The sequence below is a fragment of the Homo sapiens genome, chromosome 12 (assembly GCF_000001405.40).
Source record: "Homo sapiens chromosome 12, GRCh38.p14 Primary Assembly".
NCBI classification, from domain to species: domain Eukaryota; kingdom Metazoa; phylum Chordata; class Mammalia; order Primates; family Hominidae; genus Homo; species Homo sapiens.
Window position 1 is genome coordinate 20319450 of NC_000012.12, and position 18534 is coordinate 20337983.

Sequence of the window (18534 nt, forward strand, 5' to 3'; positions counted from 1 at the left end):
CAAACATCACTGAATCCTGTCAACTGAAACAGAGAAATGTCTTTGAAGTCTGAACTGCTTGCTCTCAATTTCCACTGCCACGGCTTTAATCCAGGCAACTCAGATAGAGGCGGCTTTGAGGAGCAGTGCCACAGTCTATTATTATAGCTATGTGTGAAGCTGACCCCTCTAAGCTTTCGTTTCCTCAAATATCAAGTGGAGGGTGAATTTACCTCAGAGTGTTGCTGTGAGATTAAATGGGATAAGGCATATAGCACATTTAGCAGATTCCTGCCATGTAGCAAGTTGAAGGTGAAGGACAAAAAAGAAGGTAAAGTTGTATTCCGGATAGAGAGGATAAAGAGTAAAATGCCTCAGGAACTTGAAGCAGCACAGCCCATTCAGGGATAAGAAACACTTGTTAAATATTAATAATTCTTCATAGTCATTGCTATTAGAACTGAGGACTGAGGACTTAATTATATAATGTTCATGGCTAAATAAGATTTACTCGATTATTTTTTTTTCCTTTGAGATGGAGTTTCCGTCTTGTTGCCCAGGCTGGAGTGCAATGGCACGATCTTGGCTCACTGCAACCTCTGCCTCCCAGGTTGAAGCAATTCTCCTGCCTCAGCATCCCGAGTAGCTGGGATTACAGGCATGTGCCACCACACCCGGCTAATTTTGTATTTTCAGTAGAGATGGGGTTTCTCCATGTTGGTCAGGCTGGTCTCGAACTCCCAACCTCAGGTGATCCGCCTGCTTCGGCCTCCCAAAGTGCTGGGATTACAGGCATGAGCGACTGCACCCGTCCTACTTGATTTTTTTAAATGCAAATAGAAGAGTCAATCCAGCAAAAGAACAACTAAATGCCACCATAGACACAGATACATACATACATTTGCACACCAATAGCATCCCAAGGGAAAATATCCTCAGTAAGCGGTCACCTGATCTGGCATTTTCAACCCTTAATAGAAAATTATGGGAAATGATTACCACAGCTACTTTGGCAACACTTTTAAGTTGTTTATTTACAATATTCAAAATTACAATTTTACAATATCCCTGTAACTCTCAACCTAAAATTGGAAATAATAATAAGCTTCAAACTGGGAATCGTTCTTGTTTTAGCCTTTCAACCAGATTTCACTCATTGGCAGTGATTCTTTCTTCTGACCCATTTCAAAAGCTGACTCTTTTATCTTGAATTGATTCCAGGTAATTGTATCTGCATCTGACCCTAGGGAAGGAACAGTCGTTTGGAACCAGTGCTATAGGGCAATAATCAGGAACTGTCTGAGACGGGCAGTGTCCAGTAGCTACCACATGACAAGAGATATCAGAATTAGAAAGGTCCCTCTGATATTCCTTGCTCTTGCTAAGAGAGACATCCGGTGTCAGTGATTCCATCTCCTCGTCAGGTCAGTTTTCCTGTGATCAAGAATAAGAAAGAAAGAAAAAAGACCTTTTATTCACTTGCTAACTGAAGCTGTATCTGTTTTTAACTAGCATTAAAATGTTCCATTCTTTGTCTAACTTACATGAATTACTCTTAGGCTTTCCTTTCACTCTTTTAAATAACAGTTTTTTTCTAGCCATAGTGGATATGCCTGTTTTCAAAATATAACTGCAAAGAGCTATTGCTGCTTCAGTGATTGTGGATTACAAGCTATTTAGGTTGTCACAGCAAATCCATTAGGGTAGAAATCTATAAGGTCTATTAAATGTGTAAACCGTGTTTAATAGTCTTTCACTTTGGTAGATGTTTATTTATAGTTATTTAGTTATTTATTATTTTCTAATTTTCCTTTTTATACCAGGGCCTTTTTGGTAGATGTTTATTTATAGTTATTTAGTTATTTATTATTTTCTAATTTCCCTTTTTATCCCAGGGCTTTTTTTTTTTTTTATTTTTAAAGAGACAGACGTCTCGCTCTTTTGACCAGGCTGACCTCCAACTCCTGGCTCAAGTGATCGTCTGGCCTCAACCTCCCTAATATCTGGGACTAGAAATGCACACCACTTTGCTAGCTTACCCAGGACCTATTTGAAATTTATTTATAGTTATTTAGTTATTCATTTTCTAATTTCCCTTTTTATACCAGGGCCTTTATTTTTTTTTTTTTTTTTTTTTTTTTTTCAGAGACAGAGGTCTTGTTCTTTTGACCAGGCTGGTCTCCACCTCCTGGGCTCAAGTGATCCTCTGGCCTCAGCCTCCCTAATATCTGGGACTATAAATGCACACCACTTGCCAGCTTACCAGGGCCTATTTGAAATTGATACCATTTGTAAAATTTCTTCTGGGTCTCTGAAATATAGTTTGTATAGCATCTTTTATAAATATGTAGTTATAATATTTTTGGATGGTATCTTGCTATGGTTAATAAACATCAGCATATTTTAGTAAAAAAAAAATCAGGTTAGTTAGAACCCTGAATGATGCAGAGGGTAATATTTAAGAGTAGGTTTCAAGTAATAAAACTTGAGGAAGTTCTATAGTTCTATTCAAGAGGCTGAGGTGGGAGGATTGCTTGAGTCCAAGAGCTGTAGGCTTCAGTGAGCTATGATCATGCCTCTGCGCTCCAGCTAGTCTCTTTTTTTTTTTTTTTTTTTTTATTGTTTTGAGACGGAGTCTCGCTCTGTCGCCCAGGCTGGAGTGCAATGGCGCGATCTCGGCTCACTGCAAGCTCCGCCTCCCGGGTTCACACCATTCTCCTGCCTCAGCCTCCCGAGTAGCGGGACTACAGGTGCCCGCCACCACGCCCGGCTAATTTTTTGTATTTTTAGTAGAGACGGGGTTTCACTGTGTTAGCCAGGATGGTCTCGATCTGCTGACATTGTGATTCACCCTCCTCAGCCTCCCAAAGTGCTGGGATTACAGGCGTGAGCCACCGCGTCCGGCCCCAGCTAGTCTCTCAAAATAAAATAAAATAAAATAACTTCAGGAAATGTGAGGAATTTGGGTTTGTTAAGTCTAAGATGAGGTGACAGTGAGTGTTCCATAATGTTCTAGAACTTCAGTCTTTGACATGCAGTAGTGAAAAAATATAGTGGTATATAATAATACTATATTATTCTCAGGGATTGTGTCAGATCAATTGCTAACAATGGGAAGACCAGAGATCACAGTGGGGCTACCACTCCGAGACACTGGTAAACACCAGGAATACAGGGAGGTTGACTACTTTTGACACCATATAGATAAAAACAAGCTCAAATTCTTTTTTCTTTACTCAAGATACAAAATTAAAATGACAACACTTAACTGTTTTATTATGAAATGTTTATAAGAGGAGACTTGGCATATATGTACAATTTAAGAAAGAACAATAAAACAAATTGGCATATGCTTTCTACCTGGCTTAAAAAGTAGAAAATGAGCTGCAACTTAAGTATACTACCATTCATTCCTGTCTTCACTTTTTGGGAGTCAGTATTTTAAAACTTGTGTTCATCATTCCGTTAATTCTTTTTTGTGGTTTTATCACATATGTGCATCCTAAAAAATACACTATTTGGTTTTATCTCCTTTTTACTTTTATATGCTGATAATAAATTATGCTTTTATGTATACTTCGGTGACATTTTCCTGAATATTATTTTTGAGTTTAATCCATGTTGATACTCCAGTTCATTCTCAAACCAATATTATGTACAACTATATGAATTTAAGATGATTTCTTTATCTAGTCTCCCATCTATGATTTCCAGTTTTTGTCTACTTCAAATCATGCCTCTATTGACATTTTTGTGTGTGTCTCCAGATATGCATGTAGAGATAGTTCTCTGTGATATGTTCCTGGAAATAGAATTGGTGAGTTGTAGTGTACTCATAACCTTAACTTTATTGTAGCAGTGCCTAATTGTTTTCCAGACAAGTTGTAGCAATTTACATTCTCACAAGTACTCTAGATGTTCTTGTTCTATTATATGCTTTCCAATATTTGTTATTAATCATCGAAACTTTTCTCCATATCATGGATATGAAATGAGAACTTTATTTTGTTTTTATCTGTATTTCTTAACTATTAATAATATTAAGCATCTCTTCCTATGGATATTGCCTACTCCTATTTCTTCTTTTGTGAAATGCCTCTCATATTTTCCCTTTTTAATAATGAATTGTTTGCTCTTACATATTGCTTTATCGGAATTCTTTGCATATTCTGGAGATAAGATTTTAAGATTTTCTTAGTCATGTATTTTTAAAATATTGTTTCCTGAACTAATGTGCAGTTTATCTTTACTTTTTTATGTTGTCTTTCAATTGGAAGTTCTTCATTTTACTGTATTTGAATATATGAATCCTTTTCTTTATTGCTTGAGTGTTACATGCATTATTTAAGAAATTTTTCCCACTCTGTGTTCTCCTGTGCTGCCATTAAACTTTTTAAATTTTTCACAAGTAAGTTTTAAGGTATAGAGAAATAATTTGTTTGTCTGTGTGTGTGTATGAGAGAGGGAGAAAGAAAGAGAGAGAAGCAAGGTTCAGCAAGGTTCAAGTTTTATTTATCTTTTATAGACAGAAAATTGCCCTAGACTATTTGTGAATAGTTTATTCTTTCCTAACTGACCAAGAATTCTATTTCTGTCATATATGTCAAATAGCCATACACACATACATCTGGTTCTGGGCCGGCCTTCTACTTGGTTCCACTGGTTTATTTTTATATACCAGTATTACATTTTCTTTATTAAATTTTTTTTCATAATGAGAAAATAAGACACTTTCTTCTTCCTCCTCCTTCATCTTCTTCCTTATGAATATTTTAGCTATTCTAGATTCTTCGTTCTTGTGCATATGTTTTGGAAATAGCTTGTCAAATTCCAAGAAAAACTCTTTTGGAAATTTGATCAGAATTCTATTGAATATACTAACCAATTTGGGGATAATGACATTTTTTTTTAGTCTTTCTATTCATAAACATGGTATATGTTTCAATTTATAAAGATCTTAATTTCTTGTTTTTTAAAATTTCTATTTCTATTTATTTCTGACTACCGTGTATTTTTGGTTCCTATTGTAAAGAATACACTTGTTTAAATTAAATTTTGTAATTATTATTTATGGATATACAGAAATTCAGTTGGCTTTAGTATATTATCCTTAGATCTGGCAATCTTATTCTACTCTTAATTATTCTAATAATCTGTAGAAAATTGAGGTTGTTTATAGAGCTAATTATCTAATCTTCAAATAATAATAATTTTTTTCATTCCCAATTCTTAGGCTTTATTTTTGTTGTTTTGTTATATTAGATAAGGTCTCCCATATAGTAAAGTAGAAATGATTATAGGGCACATTGATGACTTATTCCTGATTTTAAAGAGAAAGCTTAACAATTAGTAAAGTTGGTTTGCTATCTACTTAGGACTTTTGCATTTATGCTCAGGAGTGAAGGTGGTCTTTAATAGTCTATTATTCCTGACTTCATTTTCATGCCAACATTACACTACCCTCGTCAATTAACTTGGGGATGTCTCTTTTTCTCTTCTTTGTAAGGCATTGTTTCAAAATATATTATTTTTGCGTGTTTGATAGAACTCACCTGTAAAATAATCTGAGCCCATTATTTCATTTGTAGGAAGAATTTTTATTGTTATTTGTACATTAATGTTTTATTTTTCTTCTTCAATTAGTTATGGTAGGTCATATTTTTCTAAGGTTATTTCATCTTAATCAAGTTTTCAAATTTATTGGCATAAACTTGTCCATAATATTCTTTCTAATCCCTTTAATGTCTGGTTCATATGTAGTTAAATCTTCTTTTCATTACTAATATTATTGTACCTTATCTTGCCTTATCTTTTAAAAATTGATCAGTCTTTCTACACTTTGCCAATGCAATAATCTCTTCAAATAACTATTTTTTGGCTTTGTTGATTCTATGTATATATTTTTTTCTGTTTCTTTAACTCCAGCTCTTATCTTTAATGCTATACTTCTGAATTTTATGGAGGTATGGTTCATTTTATAAACCTTGTTAGTTAGATAATTAATGAATTATCAGATTTATTCTCATCTAATATAAATGCTTAAGGATATCTTCTCATCTAATATAAATGCTGTAATAATAATACTATAATTCTCAGGCATAGTTAGGTTGTATTTTTATTATTCTTTGATACTTGATGTTTTCTACTTAATTTTTTTGACCTATGAATTATGAAGGAGTGTATTTTAAATTTTTCAACTCACTAACTTTCTAAAGCCATCTTTTCTGTTACTGAATTATGTGCATTTTTAAAAACAGTATGTTTTCTAACATATTGAATCTTTGAATTATGTTTTGCTTACTTTATTATATAGCACTATGTCAGTTTTTGCAAATGTTCTGTGTATCCTTGGAAAAACATATTTTGCAGTTTCGAGGTTTGATTAATATACCACTCTATGTTTATACATAAATTTATAATTGTATTTTTTACATTATATCAATCCTTATTAATTTCCGTTTTGACCTATCAAGTATTGAAGAAGATATATTAATTTTCTAATATTCTGGTAGATTTATCAATTTTTTTCTTCTGTTATATATTTTAACAATATGTCATGGAGTACATATGGATTTTGGATTATATCTTATTGAGACATTGAATGTTTTATCAGTAGGATATGATTTAAGGAAGACACTTGTAAGTCAAGAAAGCTGTTATATGTTGTTTCTTAGATACATGCAAAAATATTATATATCACACATCAATAAAAATAATTGAAGGTGGAAATAATCCCAAATCCCTCAGAATAAATGAAAAAAAAATTCCAAGCAGAGAGGCTGCTGTGCCTAATTAATGAGTCACAGGTAACTTTCATCACACAGGATTAATACTAAAGCATAGTTTCATAGTTTAATGGGCAGTGTTTTTCTTTTTTTAGCAGGCTGTGACATAATAGTAACTCATATTCAATAGCATATTAGATTAGGTGACATAAAATAGCTGGGTATTTTAATCCATCCTGTCCATCTTTGCCTTTTTTTATTTTGGAAATTTTAGTCTATTTTTATTTGTTCAAAATAAGTTTATTTGTGGTTGTGATTTGGCCCATTTATGCCATAGTTTTACCCGTTAAGTATTTTAGTTCTATTCTATTTGCTTAACCCACAAATTAGGTATTATTAGATATTAGATGTTTGGTCAAGTTTTACTCACATTTCCCTTTTTTGTTCACCAGTCCTTAGATCTCATATCTTCCTTTATGAATGATTGTCAGTAGTTCAAATGTACATCCTTTAGAAGTTCCCTTAGCAATATACATTAGTATTAACATTCCATTTTTGTCTATATAAAATTGTCTTCATATCACTCTCAAACTTGGAAAAACATTTCACTGGGAATACAGTTCTGGAGTGATAATTACTTTCTCTCTCTTGGCATTTAAAGATATGATTCCTTTGTCTTTTAGCCTATTTGTTACTGTGTAGTCTTAATGGTTAGTTGTAATCCTTATTCTTTTTTATTTTCTTAGATGGAGTTTCGCTCTTGTTGCCCAGGCTGGAGTGCAATGGCACAATCTCGGCTAACCGCAACCTCCGCCTCCCGGCTTCAAGCAATTCCCCTGCCTCAGCCTCCCAAGTAGCTGGGATTACAGGCATGCGCCACCACGCCCGGCTAATTTTGTATTTTTAGTAGAGACGGGTTTTCACTATGTTGGCCAGGCTGGTCTCAAACTCCTGGCCTCAGGTGATCCATCTGCCTCAGCTTCCCAAAGTGCTGGGATTACAGGCATGAGCCACCACGCCGGCCTCCTTATTCTCTTATAGATAATCTGTCATTTTTTCTGGATGCTTTTAAGATCTCTTTGTTTTTGTTATTTTGTTTTTGTAAATTGCATTCTGCAATTTTATGTTACAACAAAAAATGTGTATATTCTCCTTGGGATTTACTGGGTTTCTTAAACCTGATTCTGTTATCTTTTAATATTGGATATTCTCAGCCATGGTGTTTTTGAATATTGCCTCCGTACCATTCTGTAATCTCTTATTCTGAAACTCCAATGAGATATGTACCAGAACAATTTACTATACCCCAATAAAAGCTGACATCTCTTTCATATTTTCCATCTCTTTGATTCTTTATAGTACATTCTGCATAATCTTCAGTTCTACCTTCCTGTTTACAAATTCCATTTTTACTTCTGTCTAGTCTGCTATTTAACACATTCATTGAATTCTAAACAAATTCACTGAATTTAACACATTCTGAATGCCTAACATACGTTCCAAACTTTTTTGCTTTTCTATGTTACTTCAGGCAGCTAAATCACTATAGTGCTAGAAATGGAAGACAGATGTCTAGGAGAATTGCTACGATCTTATTGAAAAAGTTTCCTAACTCATAACTAAAGGACTAAAAAAGAGCTCAAAATAAGTCTGGGAGTTTACCTTGAGAGATTTCTTATGTAACAGGGGATCGATCTGGAACAAATGGAGCCCTGAGAATTGAAATGAAGATGTGTAAGAAAATCAGAAGACTAAATAGAGAACTCTGGAACTTTCCATCTTCTGAGCTTTCCCTACTTAAGGAAGTAGCTATTCCTCTACTCCTTCTGCTGCTGCCTCTCCTTTGCCTGACAAGCCATTTCCTTTTCTTGCTTCAGCTATCTTTCCCTTACCTGAGATCATTACTTTCAAAAGGAAGCTGGTTTTCATTTTTTCAAAATTGATTACACTTATATTGCAATACGGCCTTGGGAGCCAAATTCAAATTATGCCCTGGAGGAGAATAGTCACAGTAAGTTTGCAAATCTGTTTTAATATATATTAGAAACTGTCTCAGGAATATGTATAAAAATAAAATTTTAGGATACTCAACTAAGCAGGGAAGAACATTAGATCAATTTGAATTTGGCAATTTCAATTGGAATCTGGAAAACCCAGATTCCAATAGTATTTGGAGTGGACTAATACAGATTTCATTCCACACTGACCCACAAATAAAAATGAGATTTAAGAAAAGAATGGAAAATATAAAATAAGATGGTAAGAATAATATTCATATACATTTGCCTTTTAGAAGACAGTAATTATTAGAATGTATTTTAAAAGTTCCATTTATATTCTATTTATAAAAGACACAGCTAAAACACAAGGACACAGAAACGCTGGAAAGAGAACACTTTATCAGTGAGGCACTTTAGAATTGGAGGCAATTTTTACCACATTTGGTGTCCTGCTTTGACCTTTGTACCAGGTGGCCTAAAAAGCTGCCAGCTTTCAGTGGTGCCCAGAGCAAGAGAAGACTCAGCACTGATCAGCCTGTCGTACAAATAGGCTCCACAACCAGGTCTTTATGACCCAGCAGGTTCCATGATGTTGGAAATCTCTGACTAATCAGGATGTCACATAGACTGTAGCAAGCTCTACAGGGGAATCAATATACCTTGAAGTTTTGAAGCAAAGGCAATGTCTTTATGGCAAGTGATTGTACTTTTTTTTTTTTTTTTTTCAGACGGAGCCTTGCTCTGTCGCCCAGGCTGGAGTGCAGTGGTGCGATCTCGGCTCACTGCAAGCTCCACCTCCCTGGTTCACGCCATTCTCCTGCCGCAGCCTCCTGAGTAGCTGGGACTACAGGCGCCCGCCACCACGCCCGGCTAATATTTTATATTTTTTTGAGAAACAGTTTCTGGCTTGCTACTGGGCTTGGGTGTTAATTGAATGCTTGAACACACTATATCAGGGAAGTGTATGACTCAAACTGACCATCATCAATTATGTACTGCCAGATCTTGTATGTATTTATCATGAACTTAGACATGTTTAACATCATTTCATCATTAATAAGCGTTTTTCAAACTGTTTTTACTAAGATCCTCTATAAGAAATATTATCCTCTTTACCATCCCCCCACGTAAATATTCATATGCACACATGTATTTATTTATTTATTTATTTAATTTTTTGAGATGAAACCTTGCTCTATCGCCCAGGCTGGAGTTCAATGGCACAGTCTCGGCTCGTTGCAACTCCTCCTCCCGGGTTCAAGCAATTCTCCCACCTCAGCCCTCCAAGTTGCGGGATCACAGGTGCCCACCACCATGCTCGGCTATTTTTTTTTTTTTTTGTAGTTTTAGTGAAGATGGGGTTTCACCATATTGACTAGGCTGGTCTCGAAATCCTGACCTCAAGTGATCCGCCTGCCTCAGCCTTCCAAAATGCTGGTGTTACAGGCGGGAACCACTATGCCTGGCCACTTGCATACATTTAAAAAGATGTTTTGCAAAACAAAACATACTTTTACTGTGTGCCATGCAGTGTGAACATTTTTATTCTACTTTTATTCTATTAAACTTTCAAATTCTGGTTAAAACTTACTAAATTTATTTCAAAACCCACTAAAGGGTGACAAACAGTTAGAAGTGGCATCTCAAAGACCTGGTCTTGATGTCAAGCAAATTGTTGAAACCTCAGTGGGTGTACTTGTGCCTCACTGCCAGAGTCTCATTCAGTCTGCACCTATGACTCCAAGGGAGTCCCTTGTGACCAATTGATGATGAAGAAGAAATTGAGCTGGGAGCAATAATTCTGCATGCTCTGTCAAGAATCAGGCACGTTAATGAATTTCTAACATGGGTAAGAATTTTCTAGTTCTTTTTACCATAATATCAGCCCCATTCAGAAGGAGCTATACCTTGATGAATGCTGTCATCATTTGTTGTCATCTTAAAGTAACTCCACCTTGTTAGAACTACAAACAGGATAATTAACTTTTTCTAAGTAAATTGTCTAGTTTTAGAGGTGTCAGTTTATGCTCTTTTACAATCAGCATTACATTTGTAATCCTTGATACCAAAACTTTTATCAATGGAGGGGTCTTTAGAAATCACTTTTTAAAAATTCTCATTTTATTAATGAGAAAATTAAGGTTTTTGGAGAAAAACTTACTTACTAAGGTCACATAGTATTGAGTAATAGAACCAAGTCTACAGTACAGGTCTTCTTATACCTTAACTAGTATTCTTATATGCTCTTTGTTTGTTTTAATATTTCAAATAAGGAAACTTCTTGTTTGCAATCTATGCTTAACAGTGGGTAAAATCAAGCAGTTAGTTTCATAAAAATTTCTCTAAAGGGTGAATAAATTTATCAGAAGCTGATTCTAATGAGCTTTATAGCCTGTTCAATTATTACTCATGTCTAGAAAAAGGAAAATATCCGTGGTATAGGTATGTTCTTCTATACAACCCAGATCATTTAATGACTAAAATACTAAGCACAAATAGTTTTCTGAACAGAACTTGAAATATACCTTTTCTAAGTACAGCAGCATGGGAAAATGCATAAAATAAGTTGACTTTTATTATTATTGCCTTTGTTTTGCAAAGTATCCTTTGGAAGCCAAATGTAGCATCTCTACCCAAAGTATTTTATGCATAATAAGATTTAAAATACTTTAAAAGGAAGAGTTCTCTAATAATATCACTATTTAGCATAGTCCATCCATCTTATAAATTGCTAGTCTCAGTAAAATTAATAAGAAAGTAAAACTGAAAATTGTGCCCCCTTTGTCAGAGTGGAACTTATATGTATGCATTGTGGGGTCAGATACTCAGATACTTCTCCATCTTACTGCACATGGTCTTTGTCACCTATGAGGTTTACAGACAGGCTCGTTCTCTCAGTCAGCTTTGGTCTGGGCTCCAAGTCTTGCTATTGTGAATAGTGCTGCAATAAACATATGTGTGCATGTGTCTTTATAGTAGAATGATGTATAATCCTTTGGGTATATACCCAGTAATGGGATTCCTGTCAAATGGTATTTCTGGTTCTAGATCCTTGAGGAATTGCCACACTGTCTTCCACAGTGGTTGAACTAATTTACATTCCCACCAACAGTGTAAAAGCGTTCCTATATCTCCACTTCCTCCGCAGCGTCTGTGGTTTCCTGACATTTTAATGATCTCCATTCTAACTGGTGTAAGATGGTATCTCATTGTGGTTTTGATTTGCATTTCTCTAATGACCAGTGATGAGCTTTTTTTCATATGTTTTTTTGGCCACATAAATGTCTTCTTTTGAGAAATGTCTGTTCATATTCTTTGCCCACTTTTTGGTGGGTTTTTTTTTTCTTGTAAATTTGTTGAAGTTCTTTGTAGATTCTGGGTAGTAGCCCTTTGTTCAGGTGGATAGATTGCAAAAATTTTCTCCCATTCTGTAGGTTGCCTGTTCACTCTGATGATAGTTTTTTTGCTGTGCAGAAGCTCTTTAGTTTAGTTAGATCCCATTTGTCAATTTTGGCTTTTGTTGCCATTGCTTTTGGTGTGTTAGTCATGAAGTCTTTGCCCATGCCTATGTCCTAAATGGTATTGCCTAGGTTTTCTTCTAGGGTTTTCATGGTTTTAGATCTAACGTTTAAGTCTTTAATCCATCTTGAGTTAATTTTTGTATAAGGTGTAAGGAAGGGATCCAGTTTCAGTTTTCTGCATATGGCCAGCCAGTTTTCCCAACACCATTTATTAAATAGGGAATCCTTTCCCCATTGCTTTTTTTGTCAGGTTTGTCAAAGATCAGATAGTTGTAGATGTGTGGCATTATTCCTGAGGCCTCTATTCTGTTCCATTGGTCTATATCTCTGTTTTGGTACCAGTACGATGCTGTTTTGGTTACTGTAACTTTGTAGTATAGTTTGAAGTCAGGTAGCTTAATGCCTCCAGCTTTGTTCTTTTTGCTTAGAATTGTCTTGGCTATACAGGCTTATTTTTGGTTCCATATGAAATTTAAAGTAGTTTTTTCTAATTCTGTGAAGAAAGTCAATGGTAGCTTGATGGGAATAGCATTGACTCTATAAATTACTTTGGGCAGTATGGCCATTTTCAGAATATTGGTTCTCCTATCCATAAGCATGGAATGTTTTTCCATTTGTTTGTGTCCCCTCATATTTCCTTGAGCAGTGGTTTGTAGTTCTCCTTGAAGAGGTTCTTCACATCCTTGTAAGTTGTATTCCTAGGTATTTTATTCTCTTTGTAGCAATTGTGAATGGGAGTTCACTCATGATTTGGCTCTCTGTTTGTCTGTTATTGGTGTATAGGAATGCTTGTGATTTTTGCCCATTGATTTTGTATCCTGAGATTTTGCTGAAGTTGCCTATCAGCTTAAGGAGTTTTTGGGGTTTTCTAAATATACAAACATGTTATCTGCAATCAGAGACAATTTGACTTCCTCTCTTCCTATTTGAATACCCTTTATTTCTTCTCTTGCCTGATTGCCCTGACCAGAACTTCCAATACTATGTTGAATGGGAGAGGTGAGAGAGGGCATTCTTGTCTTGTGCCAGTTTTCAAAGGGAATGCTTCCAGTTTTTGCCCATTCAATATGATACTGGCTGTGGGTTTGTCATAAATAGCTCTTATTATTTTGAGATACATTCCATCAATACCCAGTTTATTGAGTGTTTTTAGCATAAAGTGGGGTTGAATTTTATCAAAGGCCTTTTCTGCATCTATTGAGATAATTAAGTAGTTTTTGTCATTGGTCCTGTTTATGTGATGGATTATGTTTAGTGATTTACATATGTTGAACCAGGCTTGCATCCTAGGGATGATGCCGACTTGATTGTGGTGGATATATTTTTGGATGTGCTGCCGGATTCGATTTGCCAGTATTTTATTGAGAATTTTTGCATCGATGTTCATCAGGGATATTGACCTGAATTTATTTGTTGTTCTGTCTCTGTCAGGTTTTGGTATCAGGATGATGTTGGCCTCATAAATTGTGTTAGGGAGGAGCTCCTCTTTTTGTATTGTTTGGAATAGTTTCAGAAGTAAGGGTACCAGCTCCTATTTGTACTTCTCATAGAATTCGGCTGTGAATCCATCTAGTCATGTGCTTTTTTTTGGTTAATAGGCTATTAATTGCTGCCTCAATTTCAGAACTTGATATTGGCCTATTCAGGGATTCAACTTCTTTCTGGTTTAGTATTGGGAGGGTGTGTGTGCCCAGTAATTTATCTATTTCTTCTAGATTTTCTAGTTTATTTGCATAGAGGTGTTTATAGTATTCTCTGATGGTAGTTTATATTTCTGTGGGATCAGTGGTTATATCCCCTTTATCATTTTTTATTATGTCTATTTGATTCTTCTCTCTTTTCTTCTTTATTAGTCTGGCTAGCAGTCTATCTATTTTGTTAATCTTTTCAAGAAACCAGCTCCTGGATACATTGATTTTTTGTTGAAGGTTTTTTGAGTTTCTATCTCCTTCAATTCTGCTCTGATCTTAGTTCTGCTCTGATCTTGCCTTCTGCTAGCTTTTGAATTTCTTTGCTTTTGCTTCTCTTGTTCTTTTAATTGTGATGTTAGGGTGTGGATTTTAGATCTTTCTCACTTTCTCCTATGTGCATTTAGTGCTATAAATTTCCATCTAAACACTGCTTTAACTGTGTCCCAGAGATTCTGGTACGTTGAGTCTTTGGTCTCATTGGTTCCAAAGAACTTATTTATTTCTGCCTTAATTTCTTTATTTACCCAGTAGTCATTCAGGAGCAGGTTGTTCAGTTTCCATGTAGTTGTTCAGTTTTGAGTGAGTTTCTCAATCTTGAGTTCTAATTTGATTGTGCTGTGGTCTGAGAGACTGTTTGTTATTATTTCCATTCTTTTGCATTTGTTGAGGAGTGTTTTACTTCCAATTATGTGGCCAATTTTAGACTAAGTGCTATGTGGTGCTGAAAAGAATGTATACTCTGTTGATTGGGGGTGGAAAGTTCCATAGATGTCCATTAGATCCACTTGGTCCAGAGCTGAGTTCAAGTTCTGAATATCCTTGTTAATTTTCTGTCTTGTTGATCTAATATTGACAATGGGGTGTTAAAAACTCCCACTATTATTGTGTGGGAGTGTAAGTCTGTTTGTAAGTCTGTAAGAACTTGCTGTATGAATCTGGGTGCTCCTGTATTGGGTGCATGTATATTTAGGATAGTTAGCCCTTCTTGTTGCATCGATCCCTTTATCATTATGTAATGACTTTCTTTGTCTTTTTTGATCTTTGTGGGTTTGAAGTCTGTTTTATCAGATACTGGGATTGCAACTCCTGCTTTTTTTTTGCTTTCCATTTCCTTGGTAAGTAGTCCTACATCCCTTTATTTTGAGCCTATGTGTGTTTTTGCAAGTGAGATGGGTCTCCTGAATATAGCTTATGAATGGGTCTTGACTCTATGCAATTTGCCAGTCTGTGTCTTTTAATTGGGGCATTTAGCTCATTTACATTTAAGGTAATATTGTTATGTGTGAATTTGATCCTGTCACTATGATGCTAGTGGTGCAGTTTCTTCATCATGTCAATGGTCTTTACATTTTGGTATGTTTTTGCAGTGGCTGGTACAAGTTTTTCTTTTCCATATTTAGTGCTTCCTTCAGGAGCTCTTGTAAGGCAGGCCTAGTGGTGACAAAATCCTTCAGCCTTTGGTTGTCTGTAACGGATTTTATTTCTCCTTTGCTTATGAAGCTTAGTTTGGCTGGATATAAAATTCTGGGTTGAAAATTCTTTTCTTTAAGAATGTTGAATATTGGCCCTCACTCTCTTCTGGCTTGTAGGATTTCTGCTGAGAGATCTGCTGTTAGTCTGAATGGGCTTCCGTTTGTGGGTAACCCAACCTGTTACTCTGGCAGCCCTTAACATTTTTCTCCTTCATTTCAACCTTTGTGAATCTGATGATTATGCATCTTGGGGTTGCTGTTCTTGAGGAGTATCTTTGTGGTGTTCTCTGTATTTCCTGAATTTGAATTTTGGCCTGTCTTGCTAGGTTGGGGAAATTCTCCTGGATAATATCCTGAAGTGTGTTTTCCAACTTGGTTCCATTCTCCCCAACACTTTCAGGTACACCAATCAAATGTAGGTTTGGTCTTTTCACACAGTCCCATATTTCTTGGAGGCTTTGTTTGTTCTTTTTCATTCTTTTTTCTCTAATCTTGTCTTCATGCTTTATTTCATTAAGTTGATCTTCAATCTCTGATATCCTTTGTTGCCTTTGATCGGTTCAGCTACTGATACTTGTGTATGCTTCACAAAGTTCTCGTGTTGTGTTTTTCAGCTCCATCAGGCCATTTATGTTCTTCTCTAAGCTGGTTATTCTAGTTAGCAGTTCCTGTAACCTTTTATCAATGTTCTTAGCTTCCTTGCATTGGGTTAGAACCTGCTTTTTTAGCTTGGAGGAGTTTGTTATTACCCACCTTCTGAAGCCTACTTATTTCAATTTGTCAAACTCATTCTCCATTCACTTTTGTTCCCTTGCTGGCAAGGAGTTGTGATCCTTTGGAGGAGAAGAGGCATTCTGGTTTTTGGAATCTTCAGCCTTTTTGCACTGGTTTTTCTTCATCTTCATGGATTTATTTACCTTTGTTCGTTGATGTTGGTGACCTTCAGATGGGGTTTTTGTGTGGGTATACTTTTTGTTGATGTTGATGCTATTGCTTTCTGTTTGTTAGTTTTCCCTCTAATAGTCAGGCCCCTCTTCTGCAGGTCTGCTGGAGTTTGCTGGAAGTCCACTCCAGACCCTGTTTGCCTGGGTATCACCAGCAGAGGCTGCAGAATAGCAAAGATTGCTGCCTGCTTCTTCCTCTGGAAGTTTTGTCCCAGAGGGGCACCTGCCAGATGCCAGCTAGAGCTCTCCTGTATGAGGTGTCTGTAGACCCCTGCTGGGTGCTGTCTCCCAGTCAGCATACAGGGGTCAAGGACCCACTTGAGGAGGCAGTCTGTCCTTTAGCGGAGCTTGAGCCCTGAACTGGGAGATCTGCTGCTCTCTTCAGAGCTGGCAGGCAGGAACATTTAAGCTTACTGAAGCTGTGCCCACAGCAGCCCCTTCTCCCAGGTGCTCTGTCCCAGGGAGATGGGAGTTTTATCTATACGCCCCTGACTGGGGCTGCTGCCTTTATTTCAGAGATGCCCTGCCCAGAGAGGAGGAATCCAGAGAAGCAGTCTGGCTACAGTGGCTTTGCCATGCTGCAGTGAGTTCACCCAGTTTGAACTTCCTGGCGGCTTTGTTTACAATGTAGGGGGAAAACTGCCTACTCAAGCCTCAGTAATGGCAGATGCCCCTCCCCCCACCAACCTCAAGCATCCCAGGTGGATTTCAGACTGCTGTGCTGGCAGCAAGAATTTCAAGCCAGTGGATCTTAGCTTGTTGGGCTCCATGGGGGTGGGATCCACTGAGCAAGACCACTTGGCTCGCTGGCTTCAGCCCCCTTTCCAGGGGAGTGAACATTTCTGTCTTGCTGGCATTCCAGGTGCCACTGGAGTACCAAAAAAAAAAAAAAAAATTCCTGCAGCTAGCTCAGTGTCTGCCCCAACGGCCACCCAGTTTTGTGCTTGAAACCCGTGACCCTGGTGGTGTGGGCACCTGAGGGAGTCTCTAGTCTGTGGGTTGTGAAGACCATGGGAAAATGTAATGTTTGGGGAGTGCACCATCCCTCATGGCACAGTCCCTCACGGTACAGTCCCTCCCGGCTTCCCTTGGCTAGAGGAGGGAGTTCCCCAACCTCTTGCACTTCCTGGTGAGGCAATGCCCCACCCTGCTTCAGCTCACCCTCCATGGGCTGCACCCACTGTCTAACCAGTCCCAATGAGATGAACCAGGTACCTCAACTGGAAACGCAGAAATCACCCACCTTCTGCCTTGACCTTGCTGGGAGCTGCCGACTGGAGCTGTTCCTATTCGGCCATCATGCCAGCCCCCCCCCCCACAAGTTTTTATTTTATAACTAGGTTATTTGATTTATTTTCCTTTCCCCTTGCCTTGTGTCTCTTGAGGCAGCCTCTGAGGAACTTTGCCTTAATTTCCTTTTTTTAAGTTTCATTAAATTTAATTTTAAGTTACAGGATACATGTGCAGGATGGGCAGGTTTGTTACATACATAATTGTATGGCATGGTGGTTTGCTGCACCTGTTAACCCATCACCTAGGTATTAAGCTCCACATGCAGTAGCTATTTCTTTGCATTTTTCTCAGATCCCAACTCTAGGAGTTGTAATATCACTTTATTTAGGGAGAAGTTCTTGAAATTTTAGCCTAATTTAAAAGTAATTAGTGGCAGCTATGCTAAATGCACAGGCAGTTGAAGAAGGTAAAGGACACACATCCCTAAAGTGATCTGCAAGCAGTTAAATTAATTTCCATGGTCTAATTCTCTTCGCATTTGTTGATCCTTAGATGTGCACTCCTTCAGGGCTCCCATATGACTATTTGCGCTTCCTCCAAATGTTTTAACTTTTTTTCTTTTCTAATTTCTTTGTACAAAAGATCTTATCTGCTTTAGCTTTTCAGGTTAATCAATCTACTGCCACTTGTTCTCTGCCTTTAGGAATTCTTCATCATTTCTGGCTTGCTGATGGAATACTTTCTTATCCATTATTCTCAATTGCAAAATCTGGGGTCCGATATATTAGGGTTCTTCAGAACCTATAGAACCAATAGGATATATATATAGGTGTATGGAAAGAGGTTTATTATGAGAATTTGACTCATACAATTGTGGGGGCTGGGAAGTCCTACAATCTGCTATCTGCAAGCTGGAGGCCCAGGAAAGATGGCATAGTTCCAGTTCAAACCCAAGGGATGAGAACCAGG

General features: G+C 36.9%; 1 long non-coding RNA gene across 1 annotated transcript; it reads right to left on the bottom strand.

Moving 5' to 3' along the window:
- Positions 1-1366: 1366 nt before the first annotated feature.
- LOC105369688 (uncharacterized) lies at positions 1367-9205 on the bottom strand. Its single transcript, XR_931419.3, has 3 exons — positions 9141-9205; positions 8367-8416; positions 1367-1413 (listed from the first exon to the last, which is right to left on the bottom strand). It is a non-coding gene; the product is annotated as an uncharacterized LOC105369688 (long non-coding RNA).
- Between the last annotated feature and the right edge of the window lie 9329 nt (positions 9206-18534).